Source organism: Homo sapiens, chromosome 2 (assembly GCF_000001405.40).
Source record: "Homo sapiens chromosome 2, GRCh38.p14 Primary Assembly".
Lineage (NCBI taxonomy): Eukaryota > Metazoa > Chordata > Mammalia > Primates > Hominidae > Homo > Homo sapiens.
In genome coordinates, this window is record NC_000002.12 from 6918720 (window position 1) to 6942032 (window position 23313).

Here is a 23313-nt window from a genome sequence, read left to right on the forward strand (position 1 = left end):
CGCCACAGCACTCCCGCCTGGGCGACAGAACGAGACTCCGTCTCAAAAAAAAAAAAAAAAAAAAAAAAAAATCCATTGAACAAACATCCTGCGCTGCCTCCTGCAGGATCAAGGCTGGGGTAACAGAGGAGTGAGGTAAGGCCCCAGGGAACTATCCCCAGTGGATCCCTGCTGCCCTGCGGTGAGAGGGGGTCTAGCTCCTGCACTAAGAGCCTGGGAAGAAAACACTTCCCGTAATGGGGCCTGGGAGATGGAAGGAGGACATGCCCCAGTGAATGGGGCTGGGGTTGAGAGTTGAGCCTGGCAGATAAGATGGATTTGTAAATGAAATGCCAGGTAGAAAGTAAGTTGGTGTAGACGCCTGTGGAGCTGTGGGAGCCCCCAGGAGGGAAGGGAGGGAGTCAGGGTGTCCCTGCAAAGGGAGTCCCCTTTGCAAGGGAGGGGGTGTCTGAGTCAAAGCTTGCAGGTGGGGCAGGTCAGAGGTGGCAGGAAGGGCCTCTGTCCAGAGAGAGCTGCTCCAGCGCAGGAAGGGGGAGGGACAAGGTGTGTGACACCGTGAACTTTCCCAGGGGATTCACCCAGTGGCTCCAAAGGAGACAACAGCCTTTTTTATTGTATTCTCTTCTCCGGTACTGAGATTAGGGAACCTTGTTTTTTGCACTTTTCTAATGCCTTTTACATTTTTGTTTTTATTTTTAAAGCGTGCAAAGGAAATGTGACTAGAGGGGTCAGAAGAGGATAAATCATGAAATCTTTGAATTCTAGGCCAAGACTTTGGGTTTGACTCTGTGTCAGTGGGAGCCATTGATGGTTTTGGAGGAGGAGGGTGATCTGAGCCCTGCTTTAGAGTGATTTCCGCGGTGTTGCGTGGAAGGGAAGGCATGGTGTGGTGTGCCTTACTGTGGCTTCCGAGTCAGACCCCCACTGGCTGTGGGCTTCCACCTGCATCAGGCATCAAAGGCTGTGGATGGATTGAGGACCTCATGAGAAAATGGGTGCAAATAACCCAATTTTAATGGGATGGAAATTTTCCAGACCCAGTGCAATTTGATTTTTGCAGTTTGTGTTTTTAAAGAGCTCCCGATTCTAATGTCAGCAACTCTGGAAGAGGAACTAATGAAGGGCAAACTCAAATGCACGATGCAGGCACCCCCAGGTCATCTGTGCCATGAGGATTTGGGAAACTCAAAGAGCATTGTAAAATGCATATATTTTATAAATAGATTCCAGTGCCCTCAGCTTGCTAGTTGGTAATCCCTGTATCCAGACTGTTGCTAGAGTAAGTCACGTCTCCTGGGGATTCAGTGTGGTTTGGGACTTTGAAGGGACCTCACACTGTTTGGCTGAAGCTGCTGAGGTTCAGGGGTAGAAGTGCCACTCTGGCAGGCGGCGGCAGGGTTGGGAGCTACAAGCTACGTTGCCTGCCTCTGAGAACATTCTTTCCCCTGTGGTCCACCACGTGGCCCCACTGCCTACTTTTGTTCACATTTCTCCCTCCTGGAAGCCTTTCCCTCTGGGGGTAGAGATGGGAAGGAAGCCTGCCCTTGGAGACTGACAATCACAGAACCAGGTGGGCCAGCACCCACCTGGCCTATGAACCCTTGTTGTAACCATGGGAACCTCGTAGCTTGGAAAGGAGGGGTCAGGTAGCCCAGGCCACATGAAAAGCTGTGGCTGGTCCAGCCCTGGCATCAGCTTTTCTGGTTCTGTCTGCTGTCCCTTTTTTCCCATACCTCACTTGCAATAGAAGAGGATGAAGCCGTGCTCGCTGCCCTGCACGTTGGGTGGTCTGGAACCATTCAGGATGATATTGAGCCCTCAGACTCTCTTAGAGCAAGGAACCCCTGGCTTCACAGGATGTGGGATCTCAGAGGCAGCCCAGAGGCGGGGAATGGAATGGAGTGCTTCTAAGGAAGAGGGACTCTCCGTGTTTTCTCTGGGGAATTTTCTAACATTGAGATCGAAGAATGAAGTTGGAGGTGCCTTTCTTTTCTTTAAGAAGTAATCATTTCCAAGACTAGCCTCCTTTCTCCGTTGTTTCTGCATTACTGAAACACATGAATACCCTTTCTTAGTTAGATGAAGAAATTAAATTGAAGCCACTGCTCACATACCTGCTGGGTAGTGGGGCTGAAGGATAGAGCTTATTACAATTTCCTGACCCAGCTGTCTGGCCCTGGGCCAGCGTCTTAACCTCCCTGGATGGCTCCAGTTTTTTGAGGATAAAACTGAGGTGTTGGTGTAAATATTTTCCAAGATCCAGAAATAAAAATGTACTGTTGGATCATATTTTTTTTCCAGGAGAATAAATATTACAGGACGACTCACCAAGTACAACCATTCGTAAGGGTTTGTTTGTTTCCCAAGAGAAAATATTTTAACTTTCAGAAGAGTGGATTTTTTCCAAAGTGAAATGGTGAGAAATGAAGCTTTGAGGAGGGTGGCTCATTGCTGATAGGAGCCTTCACCTTGCTTCACTCCACAAATAACCCAAGACCTGAATTTAAAGGTGCTTACTTCCTGGATGTTCCGTAGAACTGGAAGGCAGGCTTTCTCTAAGGAGCAGGCTTATAAGCTGGATGCAGTGTTCCAGACAAAAGCAAGCTCCTTGGTGGCATGCAGTGTGTCAACCAGTATTTTATCATCTCAGGTGTGTTTGGCACTAGAGGTGGAGGAGGTGGTTGATACTCATTATGGATTTGCCTGATCTTCAGGGCTTTGCTTGCATCGTGGATGCAGTTCTCACACAGCCCTGCAGCACAGGCGTATGTTGCTATCCCTAGCTGACAGAGGAGCAGAGTGAAGCAGAGAGCAGGGATGTTGTCCAACATCGCACACACGTCGTCAATTTTGAAGCCTGGCTTTGAACCCAGAGGCCTGCAGATAAGGATAGATCCCATGACCTTGAGGAGGCTGTAGTCTAGGGAGCGGGAAGCTCAAACATTAACAGATTGAACCGTGGGGTCAGGGCAGCATGGGAGGTCAGGGCAGAGAGCAGTGGGACCCACAGGAGGGTGCCTGGATCAGCCCCGGGTGGCAGGGAGGCTGCCTGCTGGGGCGATGCTGTTGGTCTGGGATGGGAGGGACGGGTCAGAGTTAGCTAGGCAAATTAAGAGGGACAAGGTCACATTCTGGGCCTGGGAACAGCAAGAAACAGCCTGGGGTGGACAGGGAACTTAGGACCAGCACACAGGGCCGAGCTCCCCAGCTGCCTTACCATTGGCCTTTTTAGGGTGGCTGGTGGTCTCTGAGCTGTTTGGACCCAGATTTCCGTGTGTAATACAGCCGCTTTCATTACTGGCATCTCCTGGAAGGTCCCATCAGTGCATTTTCCTTTTCACTGTTTTGTTTTGGAGCGTCTTTCCCTATCTGTGTTCCCTCCATTTCCTTTCCTCCTCCTCCAGTTCTACCTGGTGGGAGAGTGAGTTCAGGGAAAGATCAGGGGAACCACCCATAGCGACCATTGTTTTTACAGTCAGTCACCTTGCTCCCATGTCTTCCGAGTGACCCATAGTTGACTGGGGCCAGCGAACTAGACATTAGCCCCGTGCATGTGCTGGATATGGCCGTGCAGGCTCTGGGGGCTTCTGCCTATGGGAGCCTGTGGGAGCAAAAGGGAAGGGTTCCAAGTCCTGAAAGTGGATGTTGTCAGAGTCTCTTTATTGATTGAACGGGCTTTTGTGTCTGTCCAAGGACTGTGCACATCTCTTACAACATTGTGTTCCTGGGAATACTTTTTAGGTTTCCCAAGAACTGCTTTCAGGTAATTCTGTGGAGCAGGGCATGTTTATTGTTGATGCATGGTGTGTTAAGGTCCTCTGGAGGGCAGAGGAGTGCAGAATGCAGCAAGCTTGACTGCCTCCTGCGAGCCATGCAGAGGGGACCCGCCCGGTTTTTCTTGTTTTTCTTTTTTTTTTTTTTTTGAGATGGAGTCTCACTTTGTCGCCCAGGCTGGAGTGTAGTGGTGCAATCTCAGCTCACTGCAAGCTCCGCCTCCTGGGTTCACGCCATTCTCCTGCCTCAGCCTCCCGAGTAGCTGGGACTACAGGCGCCCGCCGCCACACCCTGATAATTGTTTGTATTTTTAGTAGAGACGGGGTTTCACTGTGTTAGCCAGGATGGTGTTGATCTCCTGATCTCATGATCCGCCCGCCTCGGCCTCCCAAGGTGCTGGGATTACAGGCGTGAGCCACCGCGCCCGGCCTCCTGCTTTTTCATAGTGTGTCTCAGACTCCAGGGTGTGTCACCTGGCTGGTGATCTGGTGGGTTGCAGGAGTCCCCTCTGTGCACCCTCCGTCGCTGACTGGTCTGCAGCCTCCTCTGCAAGTTTCCAGCATTCTAGAGTGAACTCTCTGATGTCTGCACCACCTGCTCGACCCCTGCTACAGCCTCTTCAGTGAGGTCTGCCCATATCCTCTGAATGAAAGGGGGCCTGCCAGGGAGGCAGCAGCGCTTCCTCATGTCCCCATTTGGGTGGTAGGAAGTGTTCCCTCCACAGAAATACTCAGATGTCTGCATGAAGGGACTCTCTCCTCAAGTTCAAACATTCACTGAAACGGAAATGCGCTGAAGCTGGAATCAATGCACACCTTTTTTTTTGTTAACTTTCTTGGGAAGCTTGTGTGTTAAGCCTGTCGGTGTCTGTTAACACTTCTCTATTCAGAGACCTCCAGCCACGCTCGTTGCCCAAGTTACCTGTGAGCCCGCGGGTTGAGTGTTCAAGCCTCTTCCTGCCTTGGCTCCAGCCTGTCTTTCCAGGGCTGATCTCAGCAGCTGCTGACGTGTGCCCTGGGACGCTCTCCCACCATCCATGTGCCAGCTTCCTAATGATTCTTGAAGGCTCATCACAAATGCTGCCTTTCCTTCCAGCTGTAAAATTGCCAATGTGGGTGACTGTGGAGATGCTCTCCTCTGACACTGGCATTGCACAGATGAGAAGATGGAGCCGCACGGAGCAGAACTGGGACGGAGTTAAAGCTCCAGGGTCCAGGCCAGGTCCTGCAGGCCCAGGTGCCTGCGTTCTCTCTCGTCTTCCCAGGCACAAATGTTTTCCCCACCAGGTGCTTCCATAGCAACTTTATTTTTTTTTTTCAGAACCTGTAGTTGCGTTTAAAACTCTCTAATCCAATTTTACTGATTTATGTAACCATCCTATTTCCTCTGCTAAATTATAATCTCTGCACAGGTAGGAACTTACTCATTTTTACATTCTCTCAGTGCCTATCATGCTCTTTCTGAATGGATTTTTGTTAAGTGATTGAATACAAGATAGAGAAACCTGGTTCAAGAGGGAAGCCTGGAACAGATTATGAATGAAGAAATGGAATTCGAGTGTAAATTCTGTATTCCATCATGATCCGAGTAAACCAGGTTCTCTCTTTAGGTCAGGTCACAGAACAATACACCTTAAGACCCTGAGAAGTCAGATGGGAATATTTGCTTGGGTTTAAGAGTGAGGATGGTAGAATGTAGCCTGGTGGCCTGGAATGCAGAGAGAGAATCCTGGGTACCGTGGTTGTGTAGACACCATGTAAGTGAGATCCAGAGTAACAGCTGGCGAGACTTCCGTGGCCGTGTTGCTGGGGGGCCCGAGGCACTGTGCGATGCACGGGAAGCATAGGACGTGGCCTTTGCCTGCGATGTGAAGGGAGATGCATAATGTGGAATGGTTAGAACCAAGCGCCTGAATGTGCCCATCCGAGCGCATGTCCTGGGAGTCTGGTGAGGAAGCGATTGTGGAAATGGGACTCAGCATAGGTGGGCTTTGGAGAGCTGGGGAGTGTAGAGAAGGGGGTGCTCTGAGCTGTCCCAGAGCAGGGCAAAGACCCAGGACGGGCAGGGTTTGTTCTGGAGGATGCTGAGGAGACAGGGCTGTTGGATGAACGCTCAGGAGCAGCAGAGGAGGGGCCTCCATCTCCCTTCCGAGTGCGGGCCTCTCATGAAACACTAGGATGCTTTCGCCAGTGCCTTGGAGGAACTTGCCAGGTAGGGCCCCAGGGCCAGAGATTCTTGTGGTTCTTCCTGTATAAGAGTTGAAGAAGTGCAACTGCTAAGTGTGCTGTGAAGTGTGTGAGGAGCCATCCTTTGTGTTCACTGTATTCTCTGTCTCTGAGGAATCCGTTTTCTGAGTAACTTATGTGCCCATGGTCTGTGGTGCCAGTTGTGCACTCACAAGCATAACACAGGCTGTGTGCTCCAAGGGAGCCTTTGCTTTGGGAAGGGTGTGGGCTTCCAGAGACCTTGGGGCTGGCTCTTTGACGGATGGAGAATGTCAGGAAGCACCTGGGTCCTTCTGTGAGTTTTCTGGCGACCTCGATTGCCACACGGCGAATTTTGATAGCGTATGCACTGGAGCTTTGTAGCCTAGGGCAGTGGCATCCAAAGAGCTTCCAGGAGACTTTCTGAGTTGGCACCTTAGATCTGAACTCTCTTGACTAAAACACTTGCATTTCCTTCTAACCACTTGGCAGAAGTAAGTGATTGTAATCCCTGGTGTGGATGGGATGGGGCTGGCTGTATCCTCACAGATCTCACTCACAGATTGCAGGCCCTTCTCTCTTCTTCTTGTCTCAGTGAAGCACTATCCAAGGCCCTGAAAACTGAGCCAGTCTGGTCATTGGTGGCCGGCAGAGTGGTGGATAGGGCCAGGTGTATTAGGAAAAAGAAAAAGAAATCTCTTTATTTAATCCATTGTGAGACACTAAGAAACCATCTGTGTTTCAGCTTCTGTCCTCCCCCTTCCCCCCCAGTTGCTCTCTTTACTTTCTTCTTGTTATCATGTGTAGGGGTGAAAGTGGCCAGATATGAGAGTAAGAGTTCCCATTTATCCAAGGACAGAAGCAGGCAGGAACCTCAGGATCTGATGTGGGCAAGCCGCAGGTAAAGGGCAGGTTCAAGGCGCAGAATACAGGTAGATGATTCTCTCTGATATCTGCCTGCATCTTCATGTGGCTGTCTTCTCTGTCTCTGCGCTGGGGGTGCACCTCTTCTCACAAGGACTTCAGTCATGTTGGATTAGGGCCAAGCCTGTTGATCCCATCTTCTCTTGATTGCATCTGCAAACACCCTAATAAGGTCACATTCATAAGCATCAGGGGTTAGGAGTTCAATATATCCTTTGGGGGAGACATGATTCAACACACACGTGTGCGCACACACACAAACACACACATACACATGCATCAATACACACAACACATATATATGTACCAGTATCAGGCATAGTGTTTGTTTGTGTTTGGATGTGTTAGCATATGTTTGGCCAGCAACATAGCACTTACTAACAAGGACTTAAACAGCTTTCTGTTTCCTTAATAGCAAGGCACTGAAGGTAGGTGCTTGCTTCCAGGTGCTGGTGCAGCGGCTTGGGATGTTACTGAGAGCCAGGTTCTCTCTTCTTTCACTTTGCCATCCTCAGCATGTTTTCCTTTGCCCCATCATGCAAAAGGGCTGGCCACAGCTGCGCCACATCTGTGTTGAAGGCAGTGAGAGAGGAGGGGGAGTTGGTGTCAGCTGCATCTGTCCGTTTTTGTCAAGAAGCGACAAGCTTTTCCAAAAGTTTGGTGGCTGACTCTGTTCAGGGCCCAGTGCCAGAGCTGGGCTGCGTGGCCGGCTCCTGGAGAAAGAGAAGGAGAGAAAATGAGGGTCTGCCTGGGAGGTGGTCCTGGAGGACTGGACTGGTAACACATGCGAGAGAACTGCCCCGTGCAGGGGTTGGCCGTGCTAGGCCTTGATAAAACTGCCTTTCCCTCTCTTACCTGCTCTTCCTGGCAAAGCAGGAGCCCATATGGATTAGGCCCAGAGCCATATGCATGCGGCTTCAAGGTTGCAGGTGTGGGGCTATGCACACCTGTGTGTTCCATCAATAGGTTCGGTGTGGGTACAGTGTGGGCTGGGAATCCCAGTCCTGTCCTGGTTGTCTTTGTACCCCTCTAGCACTCGGCACACAGGCTTCTCATAGGAGGCGCTCAATAAATATTTGTTGAAATGAATCTGCGTCTTTTCCCTTCAAAGACATTTGAGTCCAGAAACAGCCACATTCATTCACTATAATATTCATGAATATCTTACTCTTTATTTCTATTGTTGTTGTTGTTTATTTACTTTTGTTCTTTAATCCATCATTTGGCAAAAACTACTTGGTACCAGGGATTCAAAGACACATTGAGGACTATATAGTGAAGGTGAGGACTTGCAGAGAGGAAGGGATGGGGCAGAGCGGGGGTGCCCTTTCTGAAACAAGGGAGAGTTTACCGTTCTGGAGTCCACATGGCAGGGATTCATCTCTTAAACTTGCGGTACTTTGTTGAGTCCAGTTTCACTGTAGTAAAAACAACCAGAACACATAGTAAGCCCTGTTGGTCCCGTGAGATTGCCTGCTCTTCACGTCTCCTGTTTGTGAAATAGCACAGGATTTTAGGTGCAGGGTTTTTCATATGCCGAATAAATATTTGTGTAGCCTTCACTCTAGGCCAGGTACTGTGCTGTCAACTGTGAAAGCCTGAGTAAGACTCAGAAGGATGTGTTTGCAGCTCCTCCTGAAAGGAATGCACAATTTCTGCCTGCTGATTGGCCGAGGGAAGCATTTCTTATCTGTTAATACTTTAATCACTCCTGGGACTCTCTCCCTTTGGCCTGCAGCTCTGCTTCCTTGACAGTGACCTTGTTTTTTTTCTGTCCCTGGCCATGTGCAGTGGATCCAGCCTTTCCTCGGGAGGACCAGCTTGACTGTGCCAGCCTAGGCGACTGATCAGGGCCTTGAGCTGTGTCCTGCTGGCCTGGCAGATAAGGGCTGCTTTCTGGAGGCAGGCAGGACTTCTTCCTTGTGTAGCAGAAAAAACAGAATGCAGACAGGTGGAGGGGAAGCGAGGACCTGAGCCAGGCTGTCCTCTGCGGTAGCTACTGGCCCTGCGGGGCCCTGGAGCCCTTAAATTCTGGCCAGTCCCAATTGAGCTGTGCTGTCAGTGGGTTTTGGGTGTGAAAAACAGAATGTAGAGTACCCAGTCATAATTGTTATATAGATTGTATGTTGAGATGATTATATTTTGGTCATATTGGGTTAAATAAAATATATTACTGAAACTAATTTCCCATGCTTTTTAATAAAATGTGGCTACCAGAAAATTTAAAATTGTGTATGTGGCTTGCATCAGACTGAAGTGCTGATCTGGAGGGCCTTGGAGAGGTGTGTTTCTTTCCAGGTTACCAGCCTTTTGACCAGCTCTTCTAGAGTGCTTACCTGCCCTGGATTCTGGGATCCCAGCATGGACAGGGCCCCTCGCCTGCATCTGGGGGCCTGGTTTGTGCCATTTCACTGTCACTAGGCACGTCCTACATGCCTTGAGGTTAGTTATGGATGGTTCAGACTCTTGTCCCACTTGCCCTGTTTGGGCACGTCCTTCTTTGTAGCCTGTATTATTCAGACTCAACTGTTCAACCAGCTCAACTCTGTTCAGTCTCAATTCAGATTCCAACATTTTTGGGCCTTTTTAAAAAAATGTGTTAAATGGACGGTTTGGGCTAGATGAATTTAACATTTTTCCTTAAGACGCTCTACTGTCAAAATCTACCCTGACTTCCATCATCTTTGCATCAAGTTCATTGCCGCAGGCCCCCTTCATTTCTCCTCTGGGTCCACCACCTGCCTGTGTGTTTACCATTGGCATTCTCCTGGCCTTCAGCGGTCAGGGCAGATGGCACCGAATGGATCTTGCACATATATTTGATTCCCAGTGAAGACTGGTTGAGAGAAGCCTCTCCCATACCTGTCTCTTCTCTGCACATCCTACATCTGCACCCCAGACCAAGCCCACATGTCTAGAATACTAGACGTGCCCCCAGGCCACCAGCTTCTAGCCCACGTACTGCTGTCCTCCACTGGCCTCCTGCATGCCCTGGCCTCCGTGCTCCTCCCTTCCTTTCTGGCGACTGCGCATTCCTCATTTGAGCCCTTGCCTTCAGAGTTGCCCCAGATTTTTTTCCGAGTCTTTGAAACCTGTGGCTTTCGCTAGCCTTTTCTCCACGGCTGGCTCCAAGGCCTCCTATCACCTGACACCCTCTGTGGTCGAGGGCTTCCCTGTGAACTTCCTCCTCACCTGCTTTTTCCTGCATTCCCAGTGTCTCCTGCTGTGGCAGCCTGCCTTCGGTGATGGTCAGAAACTGGCCCATCCTCTTCCTGCCACTTCTGGGGGTTCTGCGTGGCCCCTTCAGACCCTGTCAGTTCCCTGAGCAGCTTGGCATTTTGGGGGTGACATGGAATGAAGTCAGCATCCATTTGCTCCCTAGACACAGCAGACTTGGTGCCAAGGGCCTTTGAGCTTTGCCAAATGAAATATTTTAAAAAATTGGAAACAAGTATTAGCTCTAGAGTATTAAAAAAAATAACAGAATTGATGTTAACACATATGACATGTTATGTCAACAAAATTGAACTGTTATTGACTTGATTGAAACGCCATGCATAGTTACATAGAAATTGTATTTAACCTGATGTGAGGGTACTTTTCAATTTTTGGCATAAGGAGAGATGAGACCTGTGGAAGTCACATGTCCCTGAGTTAAATACTGCCCTCGCCACCATATTTTATCTCTTCCCAGCTCTCCTTGACAGTGGAGTTGAGACTCAGAGTTTGACATTTATTTGTTGCACTTCCATAGGGTGAATGTACAGTGAGCTGGGCTCCTGGAGCTAAGCCGTGGGTGTTACTCATTTTGAATTTCCAGCACAGGATGTGGTATGCTGAACTTCACTCTGGAACTTTTCACTGAACTCAATATATACATATTTTTATTTTAAATAAGGGACATTGGGATCCTGCCTGAAGGTCTGTGTTTTCTTTTTACTGAAACAGCACAATGTGGTGGTTTTCAAAACCACGCATGTCTGTAAACTGACCTCAAATGGCAAAAACCCTCAGCTGAGGTGCTAATAAAAATAATTATTGTGAAGCTTACGCAATCGTAGTTTGGAAGACTTTAAATTATATTTGAATATTACCTGGTATTGACTTATATGTTATCCACACCTACTGTTTATGTAGAAATCAATTTAGTTACGATATAACTACCATTATGTGATAATAAATAGCTTTGGAGATAGGATAAAGTTTTCCTTGTTAAGCATGGAATTGTTATTTAAAAAAACAATTCTAAGAGAAAGTAGCTAAAAAAGTGCATTTTCGAATATGATGAAGTGGGTCCTGCTGCAGGAAGGAAATAAATATAAATCACGTTGGCTCAGCAGAAAGAATGAATTTCTAGACCTAAACTGGGTGAAAGGATGGCGTAAGGAAAGATGCATTATTTTTATTTGCAATGGCATGATTACTTTGCACAGTTGCGCTTTGGAGAATCCAGCTCCAAGAGATGATACTAAATGTGGAGAAAAATAAATGCTTGATGCACAAATGTATTTCTTCATGTTTTTTAAAGAATAATAGCCCCAAATGGAAAACATCTAAATATAGCTAAGTAAATATCATGCTCTAATTAGATAAGATTTTTGGAGATAGTGGGCATGGGAAATGTTTATATTATTAAGTGAAAACAATGGTGAGGCAGAATTGTGCAGTTTGATGTACAAACTTGAAAAATGTGCTGAGGAGAGGAATCAGAACTCATAAGGATTGTGACAGTTTTTCTATTTTTTTATTTTTCAATTATGGTTATATTTCATTTTTAGTGAAGTAAATTCACTTAGTTTTGTAAAAAATTAATTGTAAATTCAGTCATCCCCTCAGTCCACACAAATTTTGTTACTCCATATATATACACACACATGCTCACCACACACACACATCTATGGGTATATATATAATATATATAGATACACACACTTTATCTATCTGTATATACATACATACGTGTATATATATGTATAATTTATTTTTTTGAGACAGGATCTTGCTCTGTCACTCAGGCTGGAGTGCAGTGGTGCAATCTCAGCTCACTACAGCTTTGATCTCTGGGGCTCAAGCAATCCTCCCACCTCAGCCTCCTGAATAGCTGGGACCACAGGTGTGTGCCACCACACCCAGCAAATTTTTATATTTTTTTTGTAGAGGGGGGGATTTGCCATGTTGCCCGGGCTGGTCTTGAATTTTTGAGCTCAAGCAATTCTCTCACCTCGGCCTCCCAAAGTGCTTGGATTACAGGCATGAGCCACTGCGCCTGGCTAACTATATATATTTCAACCAATAAATCCACCTTATGTCATAAGTGGACATTTTGCTGCCATGGGATTGAAATGAAACAAGGAAGAAACCCTCCTATTATTAATAAACTGGACAAAGCCATGCAAGCAACCACATTGCTCCTAAACGGCTGCCCTCCCAGGCTGACCTGATACCATGCACCTGCAGGTCTGACTGAGTACTGTTCATGTCAGAACTGGGACAGTGTGCCCGGCAGAGTCCAGAAGCATCTCCTAGTGCAGCGGTCGTGGTCAGTGCTTGAGCAGAGAAGGCAAGACTGTGGGGACAGAGACAGGATCCTGCTCAAGACTTCAGGCCCCACTGGATTTGTGAAAAGACCTGTGACTTCTCTGTAAATGTTCCTGTTTTATTCATCTCTAAAGTGAGAATTGTACCAGGGTTACTTCTTTTGTGGGAATCCTCTGAGGATTAAAGAAATCATGCCTATGAAACTTCAAAGGAAAACCTTGAAGGCCTGTCCAAAATGCAGATTAACAAATTACCATTGGAATTACCCAGGTCAGAAGCTGGGTTTTGGGAATGGGGAGGGACAGGCCTGCTGACAGCATTCAGAGTCCACTGTGGAGAACTTCATTGGCTCATAAAAGACTGCCCTCTGGTCCACAAAAATGGAAGTATTTGACCCATGTCATTTTTTTCCTAGTTTTCAGTTAAAGATAGCCTAGATGAAATAATGCCATATTTCCATTTTTTCTCTAATTTTCTGTTTTGGTGGTGGTTTTGTTTTAAATTTATGGTGAAAATGCCAGTGGCTCTTGTGTTATCTAGAGGTGTGCTGTTTAATCTCCAGATATTTGGAGATTTTCCATCTATCTTTCTCTTACTGATTTTTAGTTTAATTCCATTGTGATATGAGGCCATACTTTGTATGATTTTTGTTTTTTTCTTGTTTGTTTTTACATTTAAGTTGTGTTTTGTGGCCTGGACTCTTCCCTTTGAACTAAAGGAATGTGTATTCTGCTATTGTTGGATGGAGTATTCTTTATCAAGTAGATCGAGTTGATTGTTAGTGCTATTCAGTTCAACTATGTTCTTATTGATTTTCTGCCTGCTGAATTTTTCCATTCCTGATAAAGGGGTGTTAAAGTCTACAGCTATTAGTAGTGGATTTGTCTGTTTCTCCCTGCAGTTCTGTCAGTTTTGCCATATGTATTTTGATGCTCTGTTGTAGGGTATTACATGTTTAGCATTGTTATGTCTTGGAAAATTGATCTCTTTATTATTTTGTGATGACCCTCTTTGTTGTGATGATTTTTTTCTTGCTTTGAACTCTGCTTTATTCGAAATTAACATAGCTAGTCCAGCTTTCTTTTGATTAGTGTTAGCATGGTATATCTTTTTCCATCCCTTTATTTTTAACATGAATCTTCCTATTTGAAGTAGGTTTCCTGTGGACAATGCAACATGTAGTTGACACTTGCTATTTTACCCTCCCTGAATATCTGTACCTTTTAACTGGTATATTTAGACCATTCACAATTACACACACTTTAAAAATAGAAAATACTGTGTATTGCTATTTGGAGATTTTTTTTTCCTTAATATATTAAGTTACCTTATTCCTTTACAAAATTACATAGCCAAAGGAATTGCTTTCTAAGTTCTTTAAAATTGGTGTGTGTTTTATCTCACCATTCTAAATAAACTATTTTTTTCCTGTGGTAATGCCTCTACTATAACAAGCTTCTCATTTTGTGCCTAATTTGGTATCCGGTCAGATAAATCAATTGGTTCTTTGTGAGCAGTTTAAGCCTAAGACTCAGCTTCATTTTTATGAGTGATACCTTAGAATCAGGAATGACGGCAGAATTAGCCAAATGCCTTTTATCACAATAAGAGAATTTTAAACAATACTCAATCAATTGATAACCAATGAACCAACAAGTTTGTTCCATAGCTATAATTTGACAAATATCTCCACTGCTGAAGAGTGTATTTTGTTTTCCCCCAGAGAAGACAAGTGCAAAATAACTCACTGCAGGGCAACTCTAAAGGGATCCCTGTGTTTCCCAGTGTACAGACTATTAGTATACGATGCATGCAAACAGAGAGGTGCTTTATTGAAGCGGGACAAGACCTCTATTCATAGTAAAGTCAAACAAACCACGCATGTGAAAACCTCCACTTATAGCGGCTGCATAAGCTTAACTGCGCAGAGCTATACTGCTTTTTGAAATACTAACTTGCAAGTTCAGCAACAGCTAAGAAAACAATCCTAGACTTGGAAATTGAAAGATTGGAAGAGAAGTGGAGGGATTCCTTTGGAACCCTTTACGTACGTATGTGTAAGGAATTGTAGGTAAGTGGGAGGGTCTCTCTTGAGCAGTATTTTGCTGTGATCACTAGTGGGCACAGAGTCTAAAATGTTCCTTCATTATGGAGAAGAGGGAGAAAGGCTATGGAGAAGGAAGAGCCTCTACTAACTTGGATTTCTATGTGGATTTCAGAGCAGAGCCTACTCTAAGGATTTGCTTCAGGGAGGCTGCAATGCAAAGAAATGCTGTCTTTTTGTGGGATTTTAATTTAGAGCTTGCAATATGTTATACTTATGAGATACAATCCTTGGTGAGGCAAAATAAAAATAATTGTTTTCTCTCAGTGTATAGTATCTCATGGGTACTGTATCAAAAGTCTTTAGCCTCTAAAAATTTAAAGTTATAAATGCAGAGAATAAAAAACAACTTTGAAAGGAAAAAAAATGGAGAATAAAATTCCCTTTATTCTAAAGCAATTGCCCACAGGTTTTTTTTTTAATTTTAATTCTTCTAGAAAAATTGTGAGTATATAAATTAAGTGTGTGTTCACAGATGGGATCATAGTGTATACATATTTTTGTAGTGTGACTTTTTCTTTGCTGATATATCTTAGATATCTTTTCATGCCAAGACATGAAATATTAACTAAGGTTCAGCTTATTCTTCAGTCATATAGCTGTATTATTTATTCAGCTTTTCTTCTATTGATGGGTTTGTAAGTAATTTTCAGTTTTTGCTGTTGTGAAGATTGCTTCCAGGGTTTTTTGTTTTTGTTTTTGTTTTGTTTTGTTTTAACATACGCATGAAATTTTTTTTCACCAATGTATCTCTTGAGTAAATACTTAGGGCAGCACATGTGGGTCAGAGTTATGTGTGTTTTATGTTTTGATCTGTTTCCAAGTCATTTTCCAAAATGACATCTACCGTTGTTCTGCTAAGAAATGGATGAAAGTTCCTCTTTCTCCACATTCAACAGTATTGGGTTTTTATTCAACAGTATCGAGGTTTTTCATCATTGCTGATCTGACAAGTGAAATATGGTATCTTTTTACTTCATGTCTTTAATTAGGAATAAGTTTCAGCATCTTTTCAAATGTTTATCAGCCACTAGTATTTCTCTTTCTGTGAACCTGTTCACATTCTTTACCTGCTTTTCTATTGCAGTGTTTTCTATTGATATTTTTCTTTATAAATTAGAAGTATTAATTCTTCATTACATGTAATGAGAATAATTATTCCCAGTTTCGTTACTTACTTTTTACTTGTCTTATGTTATTTTTTCCAAATAGAAATATTATTTTTATGTAGTTAGAACTTTACCACTTCCTTATTTCTGAGGTTTGCTTTAAAGGCCTTTCTCCCTGCTGGGTTATACATATTTCAGTTATTTTTTTCCTCTGGTAAAATTGTAGTTTTACTTTTAGCATTGTTAGGAAACTAGCCTAATCTTTTTTTCCCAGCCTATTTTTTCCCCACCTATAGCTATTTGTCTGAAAACTGTTTAGTGAATAACCCATCTTTCTTCTATTGTTCTGAGACACTACTTAGAAGTATTTAAAGATATCTACATAGAAGACTCTGTGGAGTCCTAGATAAGAGCAGGAGCTCTGCAGCTGGACATGGGTTGCCACTGACCAGCTATCTGACCTGGGCAAGGATTTTAACCTGTTTCTTCTTCTGTAAGACGCAGCTATTTTGCAGTAGCTGTGCTTTTGCCAATATTGTGCATATCACCGCCAAGTTCAGTGACTGTCACATGGTCATCACTCAAAAAAAAGAAAAAAACCACATGGTCAAGGTGGAGTGGATGCTGTCTGTGCTTCTCATTGCCACTTCCAGGCCATTGCACCTTCTTCCTTCCTAAAAATCCCCTGCTCCCTTGAGACATATGCCATCAGGCTTTACCATCCCTCTTCCTTCTTCTCTGAGCCTTCTACAGATAACCCCTCCTTTTGTCCTCCTCCGCATTCATAGACGAGTTTAGCAACTAATTCACCATCTTCATCTTCCTTCCTGTTACTACTTTAGCCATTTCAACATCTGCATAGCGGGCCATTTCAAAACTAGATCCCTGACTTTCTTCTTTGGCCTCCTCCTTTTGGTCATCCTCTTTGGTCTTACATTAGATACCCATTCCTGCAGTAACACCCAGTTCTTCTAAAATCTGGACATCTAGCATCCCATTCTGAGGTCACCACCCTCTCCTTGCAGCTCCCCGTTCCTCCTCCCTCATTGGTCGCTCTTCATCACTGAGCTGCATCTCTGTGTTTGGACATCCGAGGGCCCCACGGCTCCATCCTCAGGCCTCTTTTCCTGTCTTTCCCGTCTACATCCCTGCCCGGGTGAGCTCATTTGGCTTCCAGTGTTAATGGTAACAGCATGTAGATGGGATGGCCTCTCACCTTGTGAGCTCATTTGGCTTCCAGTGTTAATGGTAACAGCATGTAAATGGGATGGCCTCTCACCTTGTGAGCTCATTTGGCTTCCAGTGTTAATGGTAACAGCATGTAGATGGGATGGCCTCTCACCTTGTGAGCTCATTTGGCTTCCAGTGTTAATGGTAACAGCATGTAGATGGGATGGCCTCTCACCTTGTGTCACCAGGCCACCCTCACGAGCCCATGCTTGTTGTCGGCATGGCAATCTGCACACCTACCCTAGGGCTTCTGAGGGACATCCATGTCATGGACAGTGCTGCTCAAACGACTGTTCAGGACAAAAGTCTGGAAGCGTCTTTGACTTCTTTCTTTCCCTCCCTCATTCCCTGCCTCCCTTCCTTTCTCCCATCAGATGCTTTGGGAGGTACCTTCAATATCTGTCAGGTTTCTGTTTTTCACTGCTTTCACTGTTCCTTTAGGGAACTTGGGCGGCTCGGCCTATGGAAACAGTGAAGGCAGGGGGAGCTTCACTGTTATTGCTTGTGCAGAGCAGTGAGCATGTTTGTGGAGCATGTTCTTTCTCCGTACATTCTCATGTCCTGCTTGCTCATTTCATCCAGGACTCACTTAAAATATCACGTCTTCAGAGAGGCCTTAAAGACTAAGAAAATAGCACGTCCTTTCTTTACCTGGTTGTATTTTATTGTAGCTCTTATCACTAACTGATGGCATATATATACACACACCCACACACATATAGATACATATGTACACACATGTGCACACATAGATGCATATATACACACGTATACACATACATGCATCTATAGATGCATGTGTGTGTGTGTATAGATAAATACTCAGACTGCAAAGTTCTGAAGGTTTTGAGTGGTTGTCACTGACTCTTTTTTCTCATAAGCCTTTTTATTGTAGTGATTTCAGCTGCTGCTATTTTAGAGCCTTTATTTAACAAGGAGTCATCTTACATAATCTTAAAAAATCACCAACAGGATCCTTTTCTATATTGATAGACACACACTTGGTGAAAGAAAGAAATGAATAAAATAATGTCTTTAATGTATGTTTTTGCATCAGGTTGACTTTCTCAGGTTATTCTGAACCATTGAGTCTTTTGTTCATAATTTGAAGTAGCATCTGTGTTCCGAGAAAGGTGTAAATTAATTAATTGTATTGAAGTTACCAGACAAGCACACTGTTAGGAAATGAGAAGCCTCATCCTATCCTTCAGTATATCAGATTTTTTCAAGTCACACACAGTAGTGTGTGTGTGTGTGTGTGTGTGTGTGTGTGTGTCACTGAGGGCCAGGTGCGGTCTATAGGTTCCTACATAGTCTGAGCTCCTTGACAGCAGAGACCACATCTTATTCACCTTGTTGTCACTCCTATGTGCTGTCTGAGCACATGGTCGGGGTGCAAGAAAAGGTTGAGTGCGTGAACATTTACTACAGATATTTCTGCTAAAACCCAGTACGTACATTCCTGGTGTTCTATAAAAACAGGTACTAAAAATGTGAGGGCTTCTTGAGTATTGAGGGACTGACCACTCCATACCGGTGTGGCTTTGTAACCAGAGTATATGAAGAACAATTCTTGATACCTGGGTACACATGCAGCTTGGCTGGAGGCTGTTAAAAATATGGATGACAAACAACCAAGTGAAATGCTATGGCACTTCATTAGCGCCCATTTGCTGGTGCTGAGAAAATGCGGATGCCAGTCAGCTGTGTGACCATGGGCCACTGTCCAGGTGGGGACAGGAGGCTTTGCAACCTGCCAACAGCCCAGGAGCCACACTGGGCTCCCAACACACCCCTCTGGGCAGGAAGCTCTGTGGCCAGGCTCTCTTTATAAATCTTTTTATAATGCAGCTGGGAAAGGCTTCATTTGCCAGTGCACCAGCTGAGCAGAGAGCTTTTCTTCCTGCTGGAGGTTATAATTCTGTTTACAGGCTCTTCTTACCTGGGAAAAATGGCAGAAGCTGTAGTAAAAGACACTATATTGTCTTTTGTTTGAAGGCTCAGAATTTATTGCCAAGTAAAGGCAGAGAATAGATTTGCAACAAAGTGGATACCATTTTCTGGAATGGATATCTAGATGCTGCTCAGGACTGAGGAGGAACAGCTTTCTGGAGGGGAGAGGCTTGCTCTGTGCACGGCCAGGTGATGTTTGGAGGCTGGGTCAGGGCTCTCGGCTGGCGGAGACATTGGCATTAAAGGCTTTAGCTTGAGCAGCCTGGTCCTGAATGTTGCAAAAAAATTAGCATCCTCAGGCTGCATGTGGGCAATGCTTGCTATTTTAGTAAAGGAGCAGTAACGAGGGAATATCTACCAAAAAGATATATGGGCCTGTCCACCAGGCTGTGTCTTCTGTCTGGTCAGATGGAAACACTGCTCCTCTATTTCTCTGCTTTGAGAAAACTAGGATGGCCCTGCAGAGGCAGAGGGGGAGAGAGAAAGAGGCAGTTGAATTTGTTCTTTGCTTCCCGGACAGAAATGCCTAAAGTTAAGCAGAGTTTACATGTAGTGTTGCAGTCCTGATGAACAAAAGCTATACTGAGAAAGAGAACATTTGGGAAAACCTGGAGTAATCCAGACTTCGTCTTTTAAATTTTTTTCCACTTGGCATGTTTCTGTTCCCCTCCCCTCCCCCTCTCCCCTCCCCTCCCTTTTTTTTTTTTTTTGGATGGAGTTTCGCTCTTGTTGCCCAGGCTGGAGTGCAACAGCGTGATCTTGGCTCACTGCAACCTCTGCCTCCTGCGTTCAAGCGATTCTCCTGCCTCAGCCTCCCATGTAGCTGGGATTACAGGTGCCCGCCACCACACCCAGCTAATTTTTGTATTTTTAGTAGAGATGGGATTTCACCATGTTGGCCAGGCTGGTCTCAAACTCCTGACCTCGTGATCCACCTGCCTCGGCCTCCCAAAGTGCTGGGATTACAGGTGTGAGCCACTGTGCCCGGCCTCTTTCTTTCTTTTTAAATAGTAGTTTTATTAAAATGGAATTCACATAGCATAAAAGTCATCGTTTTAAAGTACACCATTCTGTGGTTTTTAGTATAGTCACAGAATTTTGTAACCAACATCATTATCTAATTCCAGGGTCTTTTCAGTACCCTCCAAAAATCTCTGCATCCCTTAGCACTCACTTCTTATTCTCTCACTTTCCAAGCTTCTGAAAACTGGTGATCCACTTTCTGTCCCTATGGATTTCTGTTCTCGACCTTGCATGTGAGTGGTTTCATATAATATATGTCCTTTTGTGTCTGGCTTCTCTCTCTCATCTGGCACAATGTTTTCAGCATTTACCCATGCTGTAGCATGAATCAGTACTGCATTCCTTTATGTGGCCAAATCCATTGCATAGATTTGCCTCAGTCTTTTTTTTTTAGACATTCACTAGTTGATGGACATATGGGTCGTTTTCACTTTTTGGCTATTATGAATAATGCAGCTGTGAACATTCCTGTATAGGTTTTATTGTGGAGATATATTTTCATTTATGTTGGGTGTTTACCTAGGTGTGGAAATGCTGGGCCATATGAGAACTCTATGTTCAACACTTTGAGGAGCTGCCAAACTATTTCCTAAAGCAGCTGCACCACTTTACATTCTCCCCAGCAATGTGTAAGGGTTCACATTTCTCCACATTCTTGTCTACACTTGTTATTATCTGTCCTTCGATTCTAGCCATCCTAGTGGGTGTGAAGTGGCATCTCATTGGAGTTTCGATTTGCATTTCCCTAATTGGTTAGTCATGTAGAGCAATTTTTCTTGTGCTTATTGGCTATTTGAATATCTTCTTTGGAGAAATGTCTATTTAAATCCTTTGCCCATATTTACATTTGGGTTGTCTTTGGATTGTTAAGTATTCTTCATATATTCTGAATCCGAGGCCTTTATCAGATATATGATTTGCAAATGCACTTTTGCATTCTGTGGGTTGTCTTTTTACTCTCTTGATGGCATTTTTGACATGCAAACATTTTTAACTGTGATGAATTACAATGTATCTATTTTTTCTTGTTTGAGCTTTTAGCACCATATTTAAGAAACCATTTCTTCATCTGTGATCACAAAAATTTACTTTTATGTTTTATTTGTAAGAGTTTTATAAATTTAGCTGTTATATTTAGGTCTATGATTCATTTGCTGTTAATTTTTGTGAAAGGTTTAAGGTCTGTGTTTAGATTCAGTTTTTCAGCACTATTCGTTGAAAAAAAAAACACTATCATTTACCCATTGAAATGTCATGATACTCTTGTCAAGAATCAATTAACCAGAAATGTAGATGCTTACTTTTGGACTGTCACTTCTAATCTATTAATCCATATGTCTGTCCTTATGTCACTATTACACTATCTTGATTAATATAGCTTTATAGTAAGTTTTGACATTAAGAAGTGTAACTCCCCCAAGTTTTTTTTCTTTTCTAGGTTCTTTTAGCTACTAAGAGTCTCTTGGATTTCTGTGTGAATTTTAGGATCAGCTTGTCAATTTTTATTGAAAAAAGGCAGCTGTGATTTTAATAGCAATTACATGTAATCTATTCACCAATTAATCAATCTGTTAATATATTAGTTTGGAAGGTGTTGCTATCTTAGCAACATTGTCTTCCATCCACGAACATGGGATGTCTATTTTTTAGGGCTTCTTTAATTTCTTTTAATGATGTTTTGGTAGTTATTAATATACAGATCTTACACATCTTTTGTTAAAGTTGTTTCTAAGTATTCTTTCTGGTGCTATTCTAAATTATGTTTCTTATAATAACATATAGTTGTTACTCATTCAACCAATTCCTGCCCTTGAATGGAGTGTTTAAACCATTTAGCGTAATTACTGATAACGCTGAATTTATGTCTGCCATTGTACTATTTGTTTTCCATGGATCGTAATGTTATTTGTGTTCTTCTGTTCTTCCGTTTTGCCTTTTTTTTCATTAGTTTATTTTTATCCTCTTTTAATTTTATTTTTATTTTATTATATACTTCTGAGTTATTTTTCTCATGATTGCCCTGAGAAGCAAGCGTTTCTGTGGACTTGCACCTCTCTCTATAGGAGACTCACTGGGCAAAGCCGAATGGCTGTGATTGAAAAGGAGGGGACAGAATGAAGATCGAGGGACAGTTTGTTATCTCAGAATTGTCTGTGTTGATGGATTTATTCATTAACTTCTTGGTGGATTTTTTTTTAACATAGTAAACCTCAGTTTTTTCTCCAGTTTACTATTATGCTTCACAACTGTCTGACTGGATAAGATTTCTAATGTCAGTAGCCTTTCCTCTGGGCTTGAAGAAAGGCTTTGTGCCCTGCTCCTCTCCTCCCTGCTCCTCTAACTGCCTGTGTTCTTCTCTTGTTTCTTAGGCATCCAGTACCCTGCTGACTCTGACATGCCCCCAGCCTCCCCCAGCTCTGCAGGGAGCCCTGGTGCCAGAGACCTTCTCCCATTTCTCCCTATGGGTGCCTGACCTGAGGGCAGAGACATCTGAGTGTGTATAAGCACAGCAGGACACCAGGACCTGGCCTGAAGACATTTCCTCTCCTCCCCTCTGGATTTCTCAGAGGTAACTTTGAATTCGGAAAATGAAGGCTTCCCAACGTTCATTGATCTCTTCTTAGTGGAATCTCAGGCCATTGTTGGAAAAGATAGTAGGCCTGCCTGGGTGGATTTTTCTATACCTGTTAAGCCATACCATAAAGGCAATTTTCTAGTAGGTTTCCCCGGAATGAATTTTAAGATAGTGTTCAACACATTATTTTATGCCATCATAGTTGTTTATACTTTGGAAAGATTTCCAGGTTTATTCATTTGCTGCTTTTAACAATCCTTGGAGTCTCCTGTTTTAGATCTCCCTGATTCACTAGAGAACACGTGGATTGAGCTCCTGCGTGTGCCAGGCACAGCTCTAACTCAGAACTCAGTGAGGCAGCACCAGTGCCTGCTCTCACGAAGATTCTGTGTTTGTGAGGAATACAAGTGGAGGATGGGGGTAGGGACAGTCAGGAAGAGACAGACAATTCTCATTTGACAGTAGCCGGAAGCAAATTATATACTATGCAACAAGGCCTAGATATTGTAGAGAAAAGAAAAAGTAGACCATGTCTAGTACGACGGGGCAGGTTGCAGTTTTAAGTGGAGTGGTCAGGGAGGTCTCTAAAGGTGAAATTGAACATGCACTTTAAGGAGGCGCAGTAACTAGCCACTTAGCATCTGGGCAAGAGCGCTGTAGACAGAAGGGCTGGTGGCTGCAGCATACGGACAGCTGGAGGAGCACCCAGGCCAGCCTGGCTGGAAGGACTCAGCACAGAGCTGTGAGCTGGGACTGGGCAGGGCATAGTGGGACCTGGCTGTGCCTGCCATTGCAGGCTGTGGGGGAATTCTAGGTTCATGATGGGATATCAGTGTAGGGTTTTAAGCAGAGAAGCAGGGTCTATTTCATTTTAAATGG

At 44.2% G+C, this 23313-nt stretch overlaps 1 protein-coding gene across 8 annotated transcripts in view, besides 1 other annotated feature; it reads left to right on the plus strand.

The window, feature by feature from the left end:
* RNF144A (ring finger protein 144A) overlaps positions 1-23313 on the plus strand; it is a 158956-nt gene that overhangs the window by 1308 nt on the left and 134335 nt on the right. For 4 of the 8 annotated variants that reach the window (NM_001349185.2, NM_001349181.2, NM_014746.6 and 1 more), the window contains exon 2: positions 22229-22428. The gene's annotated coding sequence lies outside the window, so the exon portion shown is untranslated. Of the gene's footprint in view, positions 1-74; positions 136-14364; positions 14512-22228; positions 22429-23313 lie in introns of those variants that run through there. The other 4 variants (NR_146069.2, NM_001349182.2, NM_001349184.2 and 1 more) reach the window with 3 other exon arrangements.
* Positions 6033-6446: a silencer, noted in NCBI's record as "fragment chr2:7064883-7065296 (GRCh37/hg19 assembly coordinates)". NCBI's record gives its function as "represses an EF-1alpha promoter that drives an FKBP-Casp9 reporter gene in an ReSE screen in HepG2 liver carcinoma cells {active_cell/tissue: HepG2}" and the evidence as "EXISTENCE:reporter gene assay evidence [ECO:0000049][PMID:32094911]".